Raw genomic sequence first — 18,875 nt, forward strand, 5'->3', positions numbered from 1 at the left:
CCCAACCGCAGTCCCACTGAGGAGAAGGACCTGCTCCCCAGGGAAGGGAGGACCGATGCAGTAACCCTGTGGAGATGCTGGTCACTGGCCCTGGTGAAGGGAGCAGGCCCCCACCTGGATGCTGGGCCTCTGTCCAGCAGGAGGTGCCGGCCCAGGGGACAGCCTGGCCCCTTTCCCGGCTACCCAAATGCCCCTAGGGAGGCAGGAGCTGGCAAGGAGAACTGGGTCTCACAGGATGGCATTTACTCTTGCACTGGGAAGAGGATGGAGGACACAGAAGAGAAAATAGCTACTAGGAATTTGGGAGGGGGTTCTCTGTGCACACCCCCCACCCCAACCACGGACGCCCAGAGAGAGTTTCTAGCCCAGAGTTAGACCTGCGCCAGAGTGAATTCCTGGTAAAGAAGAGAGCTGAGAAAAGACGCAGCCTCTGCCTTGCCTCCGCCTCCCCCTCCCTCCCAGGGCTCCTGCCTGGACAGTGTTGAAGCCTCCTGCAGTTCCTACTCCTGACAGCAGATCCATTGTGGGGAGAGATTTAGTGGGAGGAAGGGAAGGTTGTACCAAGGTCTGACGTGGTACTTCAATGCCTGTGCCCTATCCCAGCCATAACTTCTCGCTGTCCTAAGACCTCACTCACCCTAGCATCGGGGGCTTGAGCTGGTCTTTTGTCCCATGGCAAGAGAAAAGGCAGGTGCTGGGCTTTGACGGAGAGACGTGCACAAGTTCCTCTGTCCAGGGAGCATCTTAAGGTCATGGCCCCAGTTTGTGCCAGCTTCTTCCTCAGTCAAAAATAGGACCCAGCTGGCTAGGAAATTGTTCCCACACAGCAGTAGCTTTCTGGTTCCTTAACTTTATGCCCCATCCCACTCTCCTGTGGGGTGGAGGAGGTATTCTTGAAGACTGACTAAAGAGTCAACTGGGTTTTAAGAGGTAGGGGTATGTGGGTTGGGAGTCATGGACTCTGATGTCAGAAAGACATGGGATCAAATCTAGGTTATGTGACCTCAGGTAAGCCATTGACCTTTCTGAGTCTGTTTTCAATCTGTAAAACAGGTGTAGTGTTAGCAATGTCTACTTTGCTGTTGAAAGAAATAATCTGGATAAGGAGATGGGAGACTACTTTTACGGTATAAAATGCTGGGTGAGTGTTAGTAAATAGGAGACAAGTAAGAATTTCTTAAAGAAGAGCTGGATAAATGTGGAATAGTGTTCAGTGATATTTGAAGCACATTTTTCTGTTCCCAGAGGAGATGAACAGTGGTTGAGAGCCTCATGCCCAGCTCCATGCTGGGCACAATGCAACGGTTGACTCAGCTAATCCTCACAGAAGCTTCATGAGGAAGGCATCATTGTCCCTATTTCATAGCTGAGAAATGAAGCTTGAGTGACTTTCCCAAGGTCATGAAGCCACTCGCGCTGTCCTCCTGGAGGCAGGAGAGTTACTGATGACCTGTCCCATCCTCTGAGTATCAAGGCCCAGTTCAATGCCAGTGTCTTGATTTATGATGCCAGCTTTACAGGTGGGGAGCCTGAGGCAGGTGGGTGAGGGCATACAGTGCAGTAAGGAGGTGACTCCCACAAGGTCACTGGGATACTTAGAGGTAGAATGTGCCTTGAACCGGCCAGCGGGGTGCCTCTACCCCGTCACACCTGCCAAAGGGGGGGTCTGGGTCTGACAGTCCCATCTGCTCACTGCTGCACCCGTTCTGCACCTCCTCTGCCTCCCAACCTCTTGCTGACCTCTGCCAGCCAGTGACTGCTCCTTCCTTTCTTAGTGGTTCACCCTCACCTCCTGAGATGGTCCATGGCCAGGAGCAGCTACTAGCGCTGCTGGGGTCAGCCTCCCTTCCTGACTTTTCTCCCTCCTCTGCCCATATTTTATTGTCCCCCAGGGACAAAATCATAGCTCTTCCTGTCTCAGAAGCCTTCCAGGGGCACCAATGGGGAGGTTAGAGAAGCCCAGCCCCTCTTTCTTCACTCCTACACATACACTGAGCCTCTGCCCATGGTCCTGTAACTTCGTATACATGATCTCATCTCATCCTCACATAACCTGGACCCAAAGGTGCTGCTGTCTCCCTTTCACATAGGAGAAAAACAAGGCCTGAAGGTGTGATGGGACTTTCCCAAAGTCACAGAGCAAGGTCTTGGTGCAACCCAACCCCACTGCCTCAGGACCCCAGGATGACTTCCACAACACCACTCTGCCCCCGATTCTCCAGGCTCCCCAGGGCGAGAATCAATCCAGGCACTGTAGGCCAGTGAGTGTTGGAGAGGTGGGTGGCACATGGTGAAGGCAACTGAAGGACTCTTGAACATGAGTCCAAGGACCTTCTTTCTGGCCCTATCTCTGATCCTGGCTCCCTGTATGACCTTGAAGGGGTCCCTTCCCACCTCTTGGCCTCAGTGTCCCCAACCCTAAAATGATGGGGTTTAATGCCAGGTGCAGTGGCTCACACTTGTAATCCTAACACTTTGGGAGGCCAAGGCAGGAGGATCCCTTGAGGCCTGGAGTTCAAGACCAGCCTGGGCAACATAGTGAGACCCCATCTCTACAAAAAATTATAAAAAGAAAGCTATTCTCCTCTGAACATCGCTTCTCCCAGCTCCTTTCTCCTCACTCAGCCTCCTGCCCCTCAGTGAGTTCCCCCTCTTGATCCCCTCTCTCCTCATTGAACCCTCCCCCATCTCTGATCCGCTCCCCTCCGCAACTCCTTCACTGAGCCAAGGTGTTGGAACTGAGAAGGAAATTCACCTCCATTTCTTGCAGTCCCTCCCATTCAGCCTAGACTCATTTCCACACTGACCCAGCGCCTCTGCAGGGCTTGCCTCCTTTCTCTCTCTCTCTCTCTCTCTTTTGTTTTGTTTTCTTTTGAGACAGAGTCTCTCTCTGTCACCCAGGCTGGAGTGCAGTGGTGCAATCTCAGCTCACTGCAACCTCTGCCTCCTGGGTTCAAATGATTCTCCTGCCTCAGCCTCCCAAGTAGCTGGGACTACAGGCATGTGCCACCACACCTGGCTAATTTTTATATTTTTAGTAGAGATGGGGTTTTGTGATGTTGGCCAAGCTGCTCTCAATCTCCTGACCTCAGGTGATCCGCCTGCCTCAGCCTCCCCAAGTGTTAGGATTACAGGCGTAAGCCACCACGCCCAGCCATGCCTCCTCTCTTTACAACACCAGCTGCAAACTCTCCTATTTTCCCCAAAATTCCATGAATAAGCCTCAATCACCTCACCTCTGTTGCTTCCCTAGTCCCATGCCTGTGGTCCTTGGGGGCCTCCTGGGCTCTGGTGAACAACCCTGAGAGGGTGTGGAAGGCATCTTCAGTGTCCCTGCAGCTCACCTCAAATTCTGGGCCAGAAAGGACTCTAACCTTGGTTCAGCCAAAGAGTCCTGGGATCTGTAGATGGGCCACTGGGCCTGTCTAAGCCCTATTTTCCCCCTTTAATTAAGACCCAAGTCTGTAAGTGACTTGGGACAGGTGAATTTGAAATCTCAGCTCCAATAAATCAAAGCTTGAAACACTGGAGGTGACTTCAACCTCTAATGATGGAACTGCAGGCTTCCTGACATACAGATTTATAGGACAGAGATATGTTTAAATCTTGGGACTGACAGGGCCTTCGTGGGTGGGGGGTCATCTGGTCAAAACCCATTTTTTAAATTTTTTTGAGAGAGGGGCTCAATCTGTTGCTCAGGCTGGAGTGCAGTGGCACAATCACGGCTCACTGCAGCCTTGACCTCCTGGAATCTAGTGATCCTCCCGCCTCAGCCTCCCGAATAGCTAGGACTGCAGGCATGTACCACCACACCAAGCAATTATTATTATTTCTTTTAGAGATGGGGTCTCACTATGTTGCTTCAGCTTCCAAAAGTGCTAGAATGTGGCGTGAGCCACCACATCCATGCAAGAACAGCTTTTGATGAATGGAGAAGAGTCGGATGAGGGGAAGGGAAGGGAAGGTGTTTGGGGGGCAGAGTGAGGGAGAGTGGGTTCAGAGAGGAGAAAGGGATTGGAGAGAGAGAGAGAGAGAGCAGGAGGAGTGGGATGCCCAGGAGAACAGAGGGGATTATGACAGGGAAGGGCTTGTTACCAAAAATTACAGACCCAGCCTGGCCCAGCCTAGGCCTTCACTGTGGCTTAGCACCTGCTGATACCTCTGGGGTGCTGTCCCTCTGCCCTCTTCTGGGTCATGAGCGCAGGAGGGCGACATCTCCATCCTGGAGGCTCAGCCCTGTTGGCCCCATGTCATCTAGAATAGGGCTCTCAGAGGGCCTGGGTGGGTGAGCCGGGTTCAGGCTGCCTCACTGACTGTTAGCCTAGAAGACAGGCCCCTGGGGCCATGTGTACATTGGCTCCAGAGCAGTCCTCGCCCCCCAAGGACTCCTTCAGAGCCTAAAGCCTCTGGCCTGTCCTTCTGCAGCGCTGCTTCCTCGGCAGCCAGCCTGGCCTCAGCCTCCTGCCGCCCCCGCCCTGGCCTCCTGCCCACTGCAGAGGCTGCTGTGCCGGCGGAAGCTGACGGACGGTGCCACGGCTCCCTTAGCATCCTGCCAGGGCCTCTGAGGGCTGTGAGGAGGCCTGACCCATTTACTCAGACCCCAGGGTCCAGGCGACTTCCTCAGCTGAGCCCCCTCCTAGTCCAGCACTCCCTCCCCACCACCATTTCCCAGGACTTCCCAGGACAGAGACAGGTAAAAGCAAGTTGTACAGAATCGTTCTGATTGTAAGAATGGCGTATCTTCAGCCTAGGCGGCATAGCAAGACCTCGGCTCACTAAAAAAAAATAAAAATAAAAAATTAGCCATGTGTGGTGGCACGTGCCTGTAGTCCCAGCTACTTGGGAGGCTGAGGTGGGAGGACTGCTTGAGTCTAGGACTTCAAGGATCTAGTGAACTATAATTGCACAACTACACTCCAGCCTGGGCGACAGAGTGGGACTCCATCTCAAAAGAAGAAAACACAGAGAAAGAGAGAGAGAGAGAGAATGGCATATCTTCATTGTACAAGTCTTGGGAAATACAGAAACCAAGGAGAAAATAGAAACTATCAGTAGTTCCACCACCCAAAGACAACCACTTTGAACACAGTATGGTATTTCCTTGCAGGCTTTTTTCCATGTGTCCGTAGGTACATAGAGTTAAATAACCAGGAACATGCTGCTGGAGGAGGTCTGTTGCTGTTTTTACTCTATCATGAGCATTCTCTGATGTCTTTAAAGACTCTTTAGGGCCAGGTTTGGTGGCTCACCCTGTAATCCCAGCACTTTGGGAAGCCAAGGCAGGAGGATCGCTTGAGCCCAGCAGTTTGAGACCAGCCTGGGAAACAGTGAAACCCCATCTCTACCAATAAATAAATAAATAAATAAATAAATATTAGCCAGACTTGGTGGTGCACGCATGTAGCCCCAGCTACTCAGGAGGCTGAGGTGGGAGGATCGCTTGAGCTCAGGAGTTCAAGGCTGCAGTGAGCTGAGATCGCACCACTGCACTCCAGCCTGAGCAACAGAGCGGGGGACTCTGTCTCAGTAAAGAAAGAAATAAATATTCTTCCAAAAGCATATTTTTAATGGCCTTATAAAGGCTGGGCATGGGTGGAGCTGAGAGCAGCAGAGAGAGTCTCTCCCTTGCCCCTGCCCTGTCCCTCTTGGGTGGCACAGCTTTGGGGTCTGCGTGTGTGGATTTCCCCTGGTGAAAATAACTTTATGGCCTGGGATAGGTCAGACAGAAAGTAAGGCAAGCCCCTCTGCCAGGGATTGAGGTAAGGATTTGCCAGAACTGCTAGGGAAGGAGGACATGAGAGCATCACATATCCCTGGCGGGGTGGGCTTAGGGGGCGGTGAGGGCTTGGATCCAACAAGACCCCAGAAGAAAGCACCCAGAACTGGAATCTGGTGGCTCCCAATCTCTTGAGCCCTGATTTCCGCTGGCCTCCAACCTCCAACCCTTTTTCTCTTCTGTAAAATGGATATAATGATACTTGCCTCCAGATGATACTAGAAGTGACTCAGGTCCTGGGTTGGAAAGCACCCCGGAGCCAGGTATGGTGGCTCATGCCTGTAATCCCAGAACTTTGGGAGGCTGAGGTGGGAGGATCACTTGAGCCCAGGAGTTGAAGACCAATCTGGGCAACATAATAAGACCCTATCTCTACAAAAAAAAAAAGAAGAAGAAGAAGAAAGAAAGAAAAAGAAAAAATTAAGCCAGGCACGGTGGCTCACGCCTGTAATCCCAGCAGTTTGGGAGGCTGAGGTGGGCAGATCACTTGAAATCAGGAGTTCGAGACCAGCCTGGCCATCATGGAGAAACCCCATCTCCACTAAAAATACAAAAATTAGCCAGGCCTGGTGGAGGGTGACTGTAATCCCAGCTACTCAGGAGGCTGAGGCACGAGAATCACTTGAATCCGGGAGGTGGAAATTGCAGTGAGCTGAGATCACGCCACTGCACTCCAGCCTGAGTGAGTGTAGAGCAAGAAGACCCTGAAAAAAAAAAGAAAGAAAAAAGAAAGAAGAAAGGAAGGAAGGGAGGAAGGGAGGAAGGGAGGGAGGGAGGGAGAGAGGGAGAAAGGAAGGAAGGAAGAAAGAAAAAGAAAACATTAGCCGAGCATGGTGGTGTGCACCTGTAGACCCAGCTACTCAGGAGGCTGAGGCAAGAGGATCACTTGAGCCCAGAAAGTCAAGGCTGCAACGAGCTATGATTGCACCACTATACTCCAGCCTGGGTGACAGAGCAAGATCCTGTCTCCAAAAAAGCACCCCAGGAAGGGTAAAATCCAGTGCACTTCTGCTAGGTGGAGGTCACCCTTTGAGGGGGTTAGACTATACAATCGACATTTAATGAGGGCCTCCTGTTTTCTGGGCACAGCACGAGGCCCGAGGACACAGAGGTGAATCAGACTCTGCCTCTGACCTTGAGGAGCTTCTGGACCAGTGGAAAGGAAGGCAGTCATGAAAACTGATGATCCACTGAGGTTCTGCTAGAACTAAGTCGTCCAAAGTGATATGGAGCATCAGAGGAGGCTTCTGGGAGAGGTGACATTTCAGTTGGGCCTCAAAGAATGACAGGGGAGGTGCCAGACAGAGAGGGCAGAGGATTGGCACTCCAGAGAGCATCATGGGCAATGGCACAGAGGTATGAAACCTCCTGGCTGGATTCAAGGGATAGTTACCTAATGTGGTCATAGGACAGGACAGAGGGCAGGGCTGATAATAGGCAGCCCAGTGGGAGTGGTTGGCCTTGAAGAGTTGGAATTTTTTTTTTTTTTTTTTTTGATACAGGGTCTCACCATCTGCTAGGCTGGAGTGCAATAGTGAGATCATAGCTCACTGCAGCCTCCAACTCCTGGGCTCAAGATATTCTCTTGCCTCAGCCTTCCAAGTGGCTGGGACGACAGGCATGTGCCACCACACCCAACTAATTTTTTAATGTTTTTTTAGAGATGGGGTTTTGCTATGTTGCCCAGGCTGGTCTCAAATGCCTGGCCTCAAGCAATCCTCCCATCTCGGGCTCTCAAAGTGCTGAGATTACAGGCATGAGCCGCTGCACCCAGTCAAGAGCTGGAAATTTATTCAGAAAGCAATGACAATTATAAGCTCTGGAGCAATGCCATCAAATGCTCAGGTTTGCACTTCAGGAAGGCCCCTCTGCCTGCAATAGGGTAGGAGGCAGAGAGGGAAAGGAAGAGACCTAGAGCAGAGAGGTCAGGGAGGTGTCTGTCTGCCTATTCATGTGGGCAGGAGGTGATGGTACCACTGAAAGGGGGTACAGGATACCAGAGACATGCCTCTGGGAGCTGGGCAACCTGCCCCCTACACCAATCTCCAGCTGATGGCACAGCCCTTGGTATCAGACAGAGCACCCCAGGTTAGAGGAGTGGGCTTCAAGACTGGCAGAACCTCCAAGCCACCCCTTCTCTCATCAGGGCCCCAGAGGGGGCTTCTGGGGAGGCAGGAAAGCTGGAACATTCAGTGGGTCCTTCCTGGGGGAAGTCCTGTCTTCCCTCTCTGTCAGGCCCTATCTGACACATATGTCATTCTCCCCAGAAACCTCTCTCTTCCCTGCCTCTCAAATGCTGTCTTCTTCTCTCTCCTGCTCCTCAGACATCAGAAAGCAGAGATCGTCCTTGATTCATTCATTCATTCATCACACAGCAGTAGCTCTTCCCCACTTAAAAGCTGCATGAACACATTGTCATCCCCAAGCCCTGTGCTAGGCATTAGGTAAAGAGAGGAGAAGCAGGAGTTGGGCACGGTGGCACACACCTGTGGTCCTAGATACTTGGGAGGCTGGGACATGAGGATTGCTTGAGTCCAGGAGTCTTGGGGGGGCGGGTAGTGCACTATGATCACACCTGTAAATAGCCCCTGCACTCCAGCCTGGGCAACATAGTGAGATCCCGTCTCTAAAAAAATGGGAGGAGCAGGACAGTCCTTGAGCCCCAGCAGCCCTGGATAATTTTTTTTTTTTGAGATGGAGTCTCACACTGTTGCCCAGGCTGGAGTGCAGTGGGGCAATCTCCGCTCACTGCAACCTCTGCCTCCCAGGTTCAAGCGATTCTCCTGCCTCAGCCTCCCGAGTAGCTGGGACCACAGGCACCTGCCACTACACCCGGCTAATTTTTTTTGTGTGTGTGTATTTTTAGTAGAGACAGGGTTTCAACATATTGGGTAGGCTGGTCTCGAACTCCTGACCTTGTAATCTGCCCACCTCAGCCTCCCAAAGTGCTGGGATTACAGGCGTGAGCCACTGCGCCCAGCCAAGAATGTTTTTTAGATGGACTAGGGGTTATGTAGCAGCATTCCAAGGGCTACCGGGACACCGGTGTGGGGAAGGACTCCCTGACCTGGTTGACTTTGGTTAACTTTTGAGCCGGCCTCACAGATGGAGCTCGTAGAATGAATGCAGGTTTGCCAGGCAGAGGCACAAGGAGGCAGGGTGATTTTGGCAGGAGCAGAGAGGAGGAGGTAAGAGCACCAGGTGCTTGGGGAACAGCATGGCTGGAGTGCCAGGGTCCGGGCGGAGGAGCGAAAGCCCGGGTTGGAGACAGGGGCCTCACTGTTGGGGGGCGGGGGGGGAATTATTGCCAGGTGAGGCAGCCTAGCCTTTTTTCCGTAGACAGCAGAGAACGCCAGGAATGTTCCCAGTAGGTAAGTGCATGGCCAGAGCTGTTCCAGGAAGGTCACCCTGAAGAGCGGTTTTGATTTGGACAGATGGAGACAACAGGGGGCCTGCGGTGTGTTTTCAGGACATAGGTCATATGGCCTGGGGCCTTTCCTCTCCTCTCTGCGGCTCAGCCCAATCTGGACACCCAGAACCGCTGCAGCCATGGTCCCTAGGTGCAGAGGTACCTGCCCCAGTATTTCTAGAACAGTCCATGAGAAGCAGATTCCCAGGACCCACCCAAAACGACTGATTCCAAATCTGAGTGTGGGGCCTGAATTTTATTATTATTACTATTACTACTATTATTATTATTATTATTATTATTATTATTATTATTATTAGAGACTAGGTCTCACTCTCTTGTCCAGGCTGGAGTGCAGTGGCGCAATCACGGCTCACTGCAGCTTCCACCTTCTAGGCTCAAGCAATGCTCCTGCCTCGGCCTCCTGAGTAGCTGGCACTACAGGCACATGCCACCGTGCCCAGATAATTTTTTAAAATGTTTTTTGTAGAGACAGAGTCTCTACAAAACTCAGCCTGTTGCCCAGGCTGGTCTTGAACTCCTGGCCTCAAGTGATTCTCCCACCTTGACCTCCCAAAGTGCTGGGATTACAACTGTGAGCCACTGCACCCAGCTGAGGTCTGCTTTTTTTTTTTTTTTTTTGACAGGGTCTCAAACTGTTACTCGGGTTGGAGTGCAGTGGCACAATCGTGGCTTACTAGAGTCTTGACCTCCCCCAGCTCAGATGATCTTCCCAAGTAGCTGGGACCACAGGTGCACGCCACCATGCCTGGCTAATTTTGCTAATTTTGTATTTTTTTTAAAGACAGTGTTTTGCTATGTTGCCCAGGCTAGTCTTGAACTCCTGGCCTCAACTGATCCTCCCACCTCGGCCTCCCAAAGTGCTGGGATTACCGGCATGAGTCACTGCACCCAGCAAGGTCTGCTTTTTTTTTTTTTTTTTTTTTTTAGATGGAGTGTTGCTCTGTTGCCCAGGCTGGAGTGCAGTGGTGCAATCTCTGCTCACTGCAACCTCCGCCTCCCAGGTTCAAGCGATTCTCCTGCCTCAGCCTCCCAAGTAGCTGGGATTACAGGCACCCGCCACCATGCCCGGCTAATTTTTGTGTTTTTAGTAGAGACAGGGTTTTGCCATGTTGGCCAGGTTGTTCTCAAACTCCTGGCCTCAAGTGATCCTCCCACCTTGGCCTCCCAAAGTGCAGGGATTACAGGCGTGAGCCACTGCGCCTGGCCAAGGTCTGCATTTTTTAAAGTTCCAAGGTGGACCGTACACACTAGAGTTGAGAACCGGTGCCTCATCACTTTGCACATGTGGTTCCCTTCGCCTGGAATGCCCTTCCTCCCTCTTCCTCTACCTCCCTGAGCTTCAGGCTCTGCTCAGACATCTTCTGCGTGATGTCCTGTTCCAATCTGGGTGCCCTCGAGGGCCCGGTGCTGCTTCTTCCCTGGCCCACTTTACACCCCATTCCTTTTTTTTTTTTTTTTTTTTTTTGAGACGGAGTCTCACTCTGTCGCCCAGGCTGGAGTGCAATGGCGTGATCTCAGCTCACTACAACCTCCACCTCTCAGGTTCAAGCAATTCTCCTGCCTCAGCCTCCCTAGTAGCTGGGATTACAGGGGACTGCCACCACGCCCAGCTAATTTTTTGAATTTTTAGTAGAAACGGGGTTTCACTATGTTGGCCAGGCTGGTCTCGAACTCCTGACCTCAGGCAATCCACCCGCCTCAGCCTCCCACAGTGCTAGGATTACAGGCGTGAGCCACCGTGCCCGGCTTTACACCCCATTCACACTGGTGGTTTACCTTTCCAACTCATTTGGTATTTTCTGTGTGCCGGCACTGCTGCGTGTATTAACTTATTTAGTCCTCACAACATCCAATGATGTAGGTCGGTCCTAGTTGGGGAAATGGAGGCACGGAGAGGTAAATAACATCGCCCAGCTAAGAAGTGGTTGACCCACAGAGGTTGCACCAAGGTACTGTGAGGCCCAGGGTGGCTGTTCTTTAAGGGCAGGGACCTCGTGGGATTCATTGTTGCAGGTTGTCAGTGCAAGCATGGGGCCTGGCATCTAGGAGGTACTCGGTTTCCTCATCTGTAGGATGGGCTGAAGGATGGGAATTCTCTCTCAGGGTTTCTCTGTAGCTTGGGGACTTGAAAGGGGTTATGAGCTCTAAGGTGCTTGGTGTGGATGGGAAGTGGTGGCAGAGGCTCCTCTCTGGGTTTTTGGTTTTTTTGTTTGTTTGTTTGTTTTTTAACAGGATTTTGCTCTGTCACCCAAGCTGGAATGCAGTGGCACAATCATAGCTCACTGCAGCCTCGAACTCCCAGGCTTAAGCGATCCTCCTGCCTCAGCCTCCCAAGTAGCTGGGACTACAGGTGCATGTCACCATGCCTGGCTAATTTTTTTTTCTTAATTTTTAGTAGAGATGGGGGGGTCTCACCATGTAGCCCAGGCTGGTCTTGAACTCCTGGACTAAGTGATCCTTCCACCTCAGCCTCCCAAAGTGTTGGGATTACAGGCGTGAACCACTGCGCCCAACCCTCTCTGGGATTTTAGGGTGGAATAGTTTCCCAGACAGGAGGCCTTTTCCCTCCTCCACCATGCTGTGGTTCACCCTGTCCCACAGAAATCAGCCCCTTTGAGCCTGGCCTGGGGCTGGGTACCCTGATGGAGATTCTCGGATGATGGCAGAGCAGAGTGGAGACTTGGAGAGGCCACTGCTGCACCAGGAGCTCCCACTCCCGATCCGACATTAAGGGGCTCACCTGTTCCCAGGGCAAGGAAGACCTCCCTTCAGCACCCCTGCCATTCCTACCTCCCACCCACCATCCCTCAGGAGCCGTGGGTTGTTGTCAATGATGTTGTAAATTAGCTGCTTAATTAACTATTTAGGCTAATCAGATTAATTGACATTAATTGGTTACCATTTGTCAAGGACCTTGAAAAGCTGTGCTCCTCAGAGTTGAAGTGTGTGACTGGTGCCGGGCAGGGGAGTCGGGGAGGAGCTGTCACCATGCTAACAGCTGGGAGTGTGCAGGTGGCAGGCAGTGGCAGTTCCAAGGCCACCAGGACCGCTGCTCAGGGACTGTGCACCTCCTGGCACCTCTCAGGGAGCCCCAACTTCTGAGTTCTGGCCCCTCACACCTTGGGAAACACATCAACTCTTCCTCTCCCTTAGTTGTTTAAGGAAAGGTTTGGCAGGGACCAGTGGGAAGACTGAGAAACTTTCCTTTTTGTAAAAAGAAAAAAAAAATAGAGATGGGGTCTTGTTATGTTGCCCAGGCTGGTCTAGAACTCTTGATCTTAAGTGATCCTCTTACCTCAGCCTCTCAAAGTTCTGGGATTACAGACATGAGCCACTGTGCCCAGCTGGGAGACTTTCCTTCCTCCATCCCCAAGGGCTGTAAAGACCTCAGAGGGAGAGAGATCTTAAAATTCTAAATAAGTCATGAAATAAGTAGGTCACCACATAACAACTGCTAGGATGACGTGCATATATTCACTCAAAAAAAAAAAAAAAAACAGGAAAGATGAGCAGTATAGGGTAGATAAAATATGCAAAATATTAAACTGTGATAAAATGATCAGATTTGCATTATTTAGTCAATTACAGCCCCCAAAACCCACAGTACATTTTTATGCCTGTTTTAAAGCACAACTAACAGTTTTAAATTATAGCACTTGAAACAACAACAAAAAAAACTACTATGAAATGCATCCTACGTTTTGGGAAGAGAGAAAAAAAAAGCCAACCCACTGAAAAATGGGAGTGTGCATTTGTCTTTAGAGACATTCTCTGAAGATTAAATGGCTCCCATATTTAGTCCAATACTGGGCTGGGAGTTAGGAGCCCGCAGTTTTTTTTTTTTTTTTTTTTTTTTTTAGACAGGGTCTGGCTCTGTTGCCCAGAATGGAGTGCAGTAGTGTAATCATAGCTTACTACAGCCTCAACCTTCTAGGCCCAAATGATCCTCCCACCTCAGCCTCCCGAGTAGCTGGGACTACAGGCGTGCACTACTACACTGGCTAATTTTTTTATTATTATTATTTTGTGTAGAGTCAGGGTCTTGCTATGTTGCCCAGTCTGGTTTTTTTTTTTTTTTTTTTGAGACAGAGTTTCACTCTTGTCGCCCAGGCTGGAGTGCAATGGCATGATCTCAGCTCACTGCAACCTCTGCCTCCCAGGTTCAAATGTTCTCCTGTCTCAGCCTCCTGAGTGGCTGGAACAACAGGCATGTGCCACCACACCTGGCTAATTTTTTTTTTTTTTTTTTTTTTGAGACAGAGTCTCACTCTGTCGCCCAGGCTGGAGTGCAGTGGTGCGATCTTGGCTCACTGCAAGCTCCGCCTCCCGGGTTCATGCCAGTCTCCTGCCTCAGCCTCCCCAGTAGCTGGGACTACAGGTGCCCACCACCACGCCCAGCTAATTTTTTTTTTTTTTTTGTATTTTTAGTAGAGACGGGGTTTCACCGTGTTAGTCAGGATGGTCTCGATCTCCTGACCTCGTGATCTGCCCACCTTGGCCTCCCAAAGTGCTGGGATTACAGGCGTGAGCCACCGCGCCCGGCCCACATCTGGCTAATTTTTTGTCATTTTAGTAGAGATGGGGATTCACCATGTTGGCCAGGCTGGTCGTGAACTTCTGACCTCAGGTGATCCCCCAGCCTCGACCTCCCAAAGTGTTGGGATTACAGGCATGAGCCACCATGCCTGCCCCCATGCTGGTCTTGAACTCCTGGGTGCAAGCAGTCTTCCCACCTCGGCCTCCCAAAGTGCTGGGATTACAGGCGTGAGCCACCGTGCCTGCCCCCAGGCTGGTCTTGAACTGGGTTCAAGCAGTCTTCCCACCTTGGCTTCACAAAGTGCTGGGATTACATGCATGAGCCACTGAGCCTGGACAGGGAGCCTGCAGTCTTATCTTGACTTTTCCACTGAGTCCTTGAGGGTCCCTTCCTTCTCTGAGCCTTGATTTCTTCAATGGCGAGTCCCTGGCCTGTCTTCCTGAGAGAATGCTTACATGGAGCAGAGGAGGAATGGATTTCCAGTACACTGGAGGTGCATACAAATGTGAGGAGAGAGAAGAGGTTCATTTTGGTGGGAGGGTCAGGCTCTCAACATGGACAGGGGAATTGCTTTCTGGGGAGGAGAGGTTCCCAGGTTGGTGACAGAGGTTTCTAGCTTGGGAGGGGATGACATGGAGAGTGAATGTGGGGTCTCTCCCTCTCTCCCCTTTTACTGTCCAATTCTGCAGCCCCTCGGGGGAGGAAAGACCGGGAGAGACTGGAGGCTGTTGCCTAGCAACGAGAGGCGCATCTGGATCGATGGGAAAGTCAGTGATGCTCCAGCCCCCAGCCCGACTCTCTCTTTGATCTCAGCCGGCCCAGCAGAAACCTGAGGGGATGCCCCCCAGGCAGCCAGCTTGATTGGAGCTGAGTCAATAGAGGGAATGTTCCATAATGAGATTGTATGGGCAGTGGAGGCAGCTGCCTGTGGCTTCTCCTGTCACCCTCCTCAGCAGGTGGAAGGGGCCGGACTGTCTGTCCAGCACACACCCTTCCTGCTGATAGCTCTGGCCTGGGTAGGGGTAGGGTAGGGGTACACATCACCATCCAATTTTGATTCTTGTTAGTCTTGCACTTCCAGGGACTCAGAGCCCAGCTCCCCCTGTTAGGTTTTGAAGGGAAGGCGAGGATTATAGAAAGACACACACACAGAAAGAGCACGGCTCAAAAGCAAATGCAGCTTTTGTTTTGTTTTGTTTTTTGAGATGAAGTTTTGCTCTTGTCCCCCAGGCTGGAGTGCAATGGTGTAATCTCTGCCCACTGCAACCTCCTTCCCCCAAGTTCAAGCGATTCTCCTGCCTCAACTTCCCGAGTAGCTGGAATTACAGGCGTCTGCCACCACACCCGGCTAAGTTTTGTATTTTTAGTAGAGACTGAGTTTCCCCATATTGGCCAGGCTGTTCTCAAATTGCTGACCTCAGGTGATCCACCCACCTCGGCCTCCCAATCACGCTGGGATTACAGGCGTGAGCCATCACACCTGGGCGCAAATGCAGGTTTTACGTCCAGCATAAAACCTTCAGAAGTGGGGGACCAACCTAATGTCAGAGCCCACCACTGCTTACAGGCTGGCACAATTTATAGGTATGGGCAGGAGGGGTCTAGGCAGTATGGCTTGCCCAGCAGGATATTGATAAGATGTCCCAATAATGAGGCAGTTCTGGCCCTTGTTCCAGCAGAATGTGGTACTCCTTGCATTTTCTCCCAGCAGAATATCGTAAGAGGAAGGCTGTTTCTTCAGTCGGGCCTTTGTCCACCTTGTGGTCAGGTGGTTAGGTAGGATGTTTCTCACGACCCGAACCACTGTGAAGTGTTTCACTTTGACTAAGGTCTGCAAAATAGCAGGGAGCTTACAAAATGGTGCAGTTTAGACTAACACTACCCAAGCCCTGCCAGTATCCAGGCCCCTGACACTTGGTCCAGATAAGAGAAACTGAGGCTCAGAAAGGAAAAGGGATCTGGTTATACAACTTCTAGCCCATCGTGCCTTCCTCTGCCTAGCTCCCAGGTGTGAGCCTGGAGCGGGGGTTGGGATCTGATCCTGGGGGAAGGAGAAGGAGGTGATGAAAACTGGGTAAAGCACACAGGCTTCTCCGATTTCACTGCAGGGTCAGTCCTCAAGGCCAGCTTGGGAGGGTCCTCAGAGAGCATGGGCTTCTGACACACAGGTGGCTCTCCCTCCATATCTCCACCAAGGCCATCTGATTTGCACCCTCCCGGGACACAGAGACCGCCACCTGCCATCGGTGACAGCTCAGTCATAAGACTGTTCTTTCTTGGGCTAAGCTGAAGCTGCTTCTGTAGAACATTCTCCCCACCCTCCACCCCACCCCCATCTCCATTCTTGCTCAGCAGCCCCAGGGAAGCTGTCTGCTCTTGGTGGCAAGGCTTCAGCCTCCCACAAGGCCACTGAGGGCCCTGACAGAGAGCAGGAAGACTGAGTAAGGCAGGGATTCTTTTGTTCCTCTAGAATGCAGGGGAGAAGAGACCAAACCACTACTTGCTTATTTCATATCAGTTCTGGCCTCTACAGATCTGTCTACTAGGTTGAACTCGTCTGTGTTGCTTTCTTTTCTTTTTTTTTTTTTTTTTTTTTTTTGGCAAGGTCTCACTCTGTTGCCCAGGCTGGATTGCAGTGGTGAAATCTCGGCTCACTACAACCTCTGCTTCCCGGGTTCAAGAGATTCTCCTGCCTCAGCTTCCCAAGTAGCTGGGACTATAGGCATGCACCATCACACCTGGCCTTTTTGTTTGTTTGTTTTTTGTTTTTTTCAGACAGAGTGTCGCTCTTGTTGCCCAGGCTGGGGTGCAGCGGCGTGATCTTGGCTCATTGCCACTTCTGCCTCCCAGGTTCAAGCAATTCTCCTGCCTCAGCCTCCCAAGTAGCTGGGATTACAGGCACCAGCCACCATGCCTGGCTAATTTTTGTATTTTTAGTAGAGATGGCCATGTTGGCTAGGCTGGTCTTGAACTCCTGGCCTCAAGTGATCCACCTGCCTCAGCCTCCCAAAGTGTTGGGATTACAGGCGTGAGCCACCATACCCGGCCTGTATTGCTTTCAGTAGCCAGTGTTGCTTGTTCTGATACCTTCCAGCTGTCTGTCATGCTGGTGTGCAGTGTCCCCACTGTCCTCTGTTGATCAGTCGGTCTGAGCTCCTGGCTTGGCTGGGTCTGTCCCATTTACAAGGCTCTGTATGACCTGTCCTGGGCTACATCAATCTGCACTGATCTCACCTGAGCATTGTTACCTGTTCTCACCTGGGCTGCATTACCTGTACTGTGGACTCCTCTGGAGGCAGCAGACAGTGGAGGCCTCCTTGTCCCTCCTTGTCCCTTGTCAGTGATGCTCCAGCCCCCAGCCGGCTTTCTCTTTGATCTCAGCCAGCCCAGCAGAAGCCTGAGGGGATGCCCTGGGCAGCCTGCTTGGTTGCCACCCAAATCTTTGCTCCAGGAACCCAAATCAGAGCCAACAAAGACAGGAGCCTTGACCAGAGAAGTCCTTCCTATCTATTCAAAGACAGGGCTGGGGCCGGGTGCGGTGGCTCACACCTGTCATCTCAGCACTCTGGGAAGCCAAGGTGGGTGGATCACTTGAGGTCAGGAGTTTGAGACCAGCCTGGCCAACATAGTGAAACCCCGTCTCTACTAAAAGTACAAAAAATTAGCCAGGCATGGTGGCACACGCCTGTAATCCCAGCTACTTGGGTGGCTAAGGCATGAGAATGGCTGGAACCCAGGAGGTGGAGGTTGCAGTGAGCCGAGATCACACCACTGCACTCCAGCCTGGACAACACAGCGAGATACTGTCTCAAAAACAAACAAACAAACAAACAAAGACAAGGCTGGACTCGAGGGCTTACAAAGTAGATGACCATGAGGCCCATGCAAATGTCAGCATGCACATAGTCTAGGCATAGTGAGAGCAGTGACCAAGGACCTCTCCCTCTGTAGTTCCCAGAGATGATGGTGGTAAAACAATAAGTAGTGAGCTCCCATCGGTGCAAACACAGGCGGGGTCTCAGCAAACAGTCCCAGGTGGCTGCTCTGTGCCAAGCCCTGTGCTGAGCACTAGGGATACAGATGTGGATTGGCCCAGTCTCTGCCCTTGGACAGCCCTCAGTCAGCCAAGGAGCAACAGTCATGCTAGATTGCGAGTAGTAGCCACAGGGTGACAGCAGAGGCACGTCCCCCAGGGAGTCCTTCCAGGCAGTCAGGGAAGGCTTCACGGAGGAGGTGATGCTTGAGCAGTCTTGCAGGAAGGGTAGATGAGGAAGAACCTTCCAGGCATGAGGAACAGCATGGGTCAGTGCATTCTTGGGTGGAGTGGAATGTGGTGTGGAGCTGGACAGGGATAGCGTAGGACTGGGCACATTGCCAGCTAAGCCACCAGGGCTTTCTCCTGTGGTCTGCAGGCTCGCCCTCTCTGCCTCACCGGCCCCGGACACCCCATCTTGGCCCTGGAAACTTTGCCAGCCCAGCCACCTCCATTGCCCAGCACAGACTGAGACGGCAGGGAAAGGGTCAGCCCGAGTCCTGCCCAGGCATGGCTGGACCCAGCCCTAGACTGAAAAGGGGAGGGCAGAAGAGGGACCACAAGGGCTATGGTCAAAACACAGAGCTGCAGTGCCCGCACCCTTGCAAGCCAGGCTGCCTGCCCCTCCAGGAACCAGCCCTCCCACCCCCAGCCAGCCCCAGCCTTGGGGCTCTGGCCAAGATTTTCCTCCAGCTCCAGCAGGGGCAGCAGGAAGCTCCAGCTGCTGAATTATTGAAAGCAAGGCTTTCAGCAGTTCCCCTCCCCCCACCGCGTCTTCTGGAGGGTTGGGTAACAAACAGCCGTGCCAGCACCAGCGCCTCTCCAGAGAGACTCCAAGGAGTCATGGAGGAAGCTCACTGGGCTCTGCCCGCTCCCTGAGCCACCTCCTCCCAGGCCTCTCCCTGCAGTGTCTTCTTACCCGTCTTTTTTTTTTTTTTTTTTCCAGACAAGGTCTCACTTTGTTGCCCAGGCTGGAGTGCAGTGGCGCAATCTCAGTTCACCGCAACCTCCGCCTCCTGGGTACAAGCGATTCTCCTGCCTCAGCCTCCCAAGTAGCTGGGTTCACAGGTGCCCGCCACCACACCCAGTTAATTTT

The 18,875-nt window shown here is 52.1% G+C and overlaps 1 protein-coding gene across 2 annotated transcripts in view; it reads left to right on the top strand.

The window, feature by feature from the left end:
• SRRM3 (serine/arginine repetitive matrix 3) overlaps positions 1-18,875 on the top strand; it is an 85,392-nt gene that overhangs the window by 458 nt on the left and 66,059 nt on the right. The gene's annotated exons all lie outside the window — the stretch shown is intronic.

This window comes from Homo sapiens, chromosome 7 (assembly GCF_000001405.40).
Source record: "Homo sapiens chromosome 7, GRCh38.p14 Primary Assembly".
Classification (NCBI taxonomy): domain Eukaryota; kingdom Metazoa; phylum Chordata; class Mammalia; order Primates; family Hominidae; genus Homo; species Homo sapiens.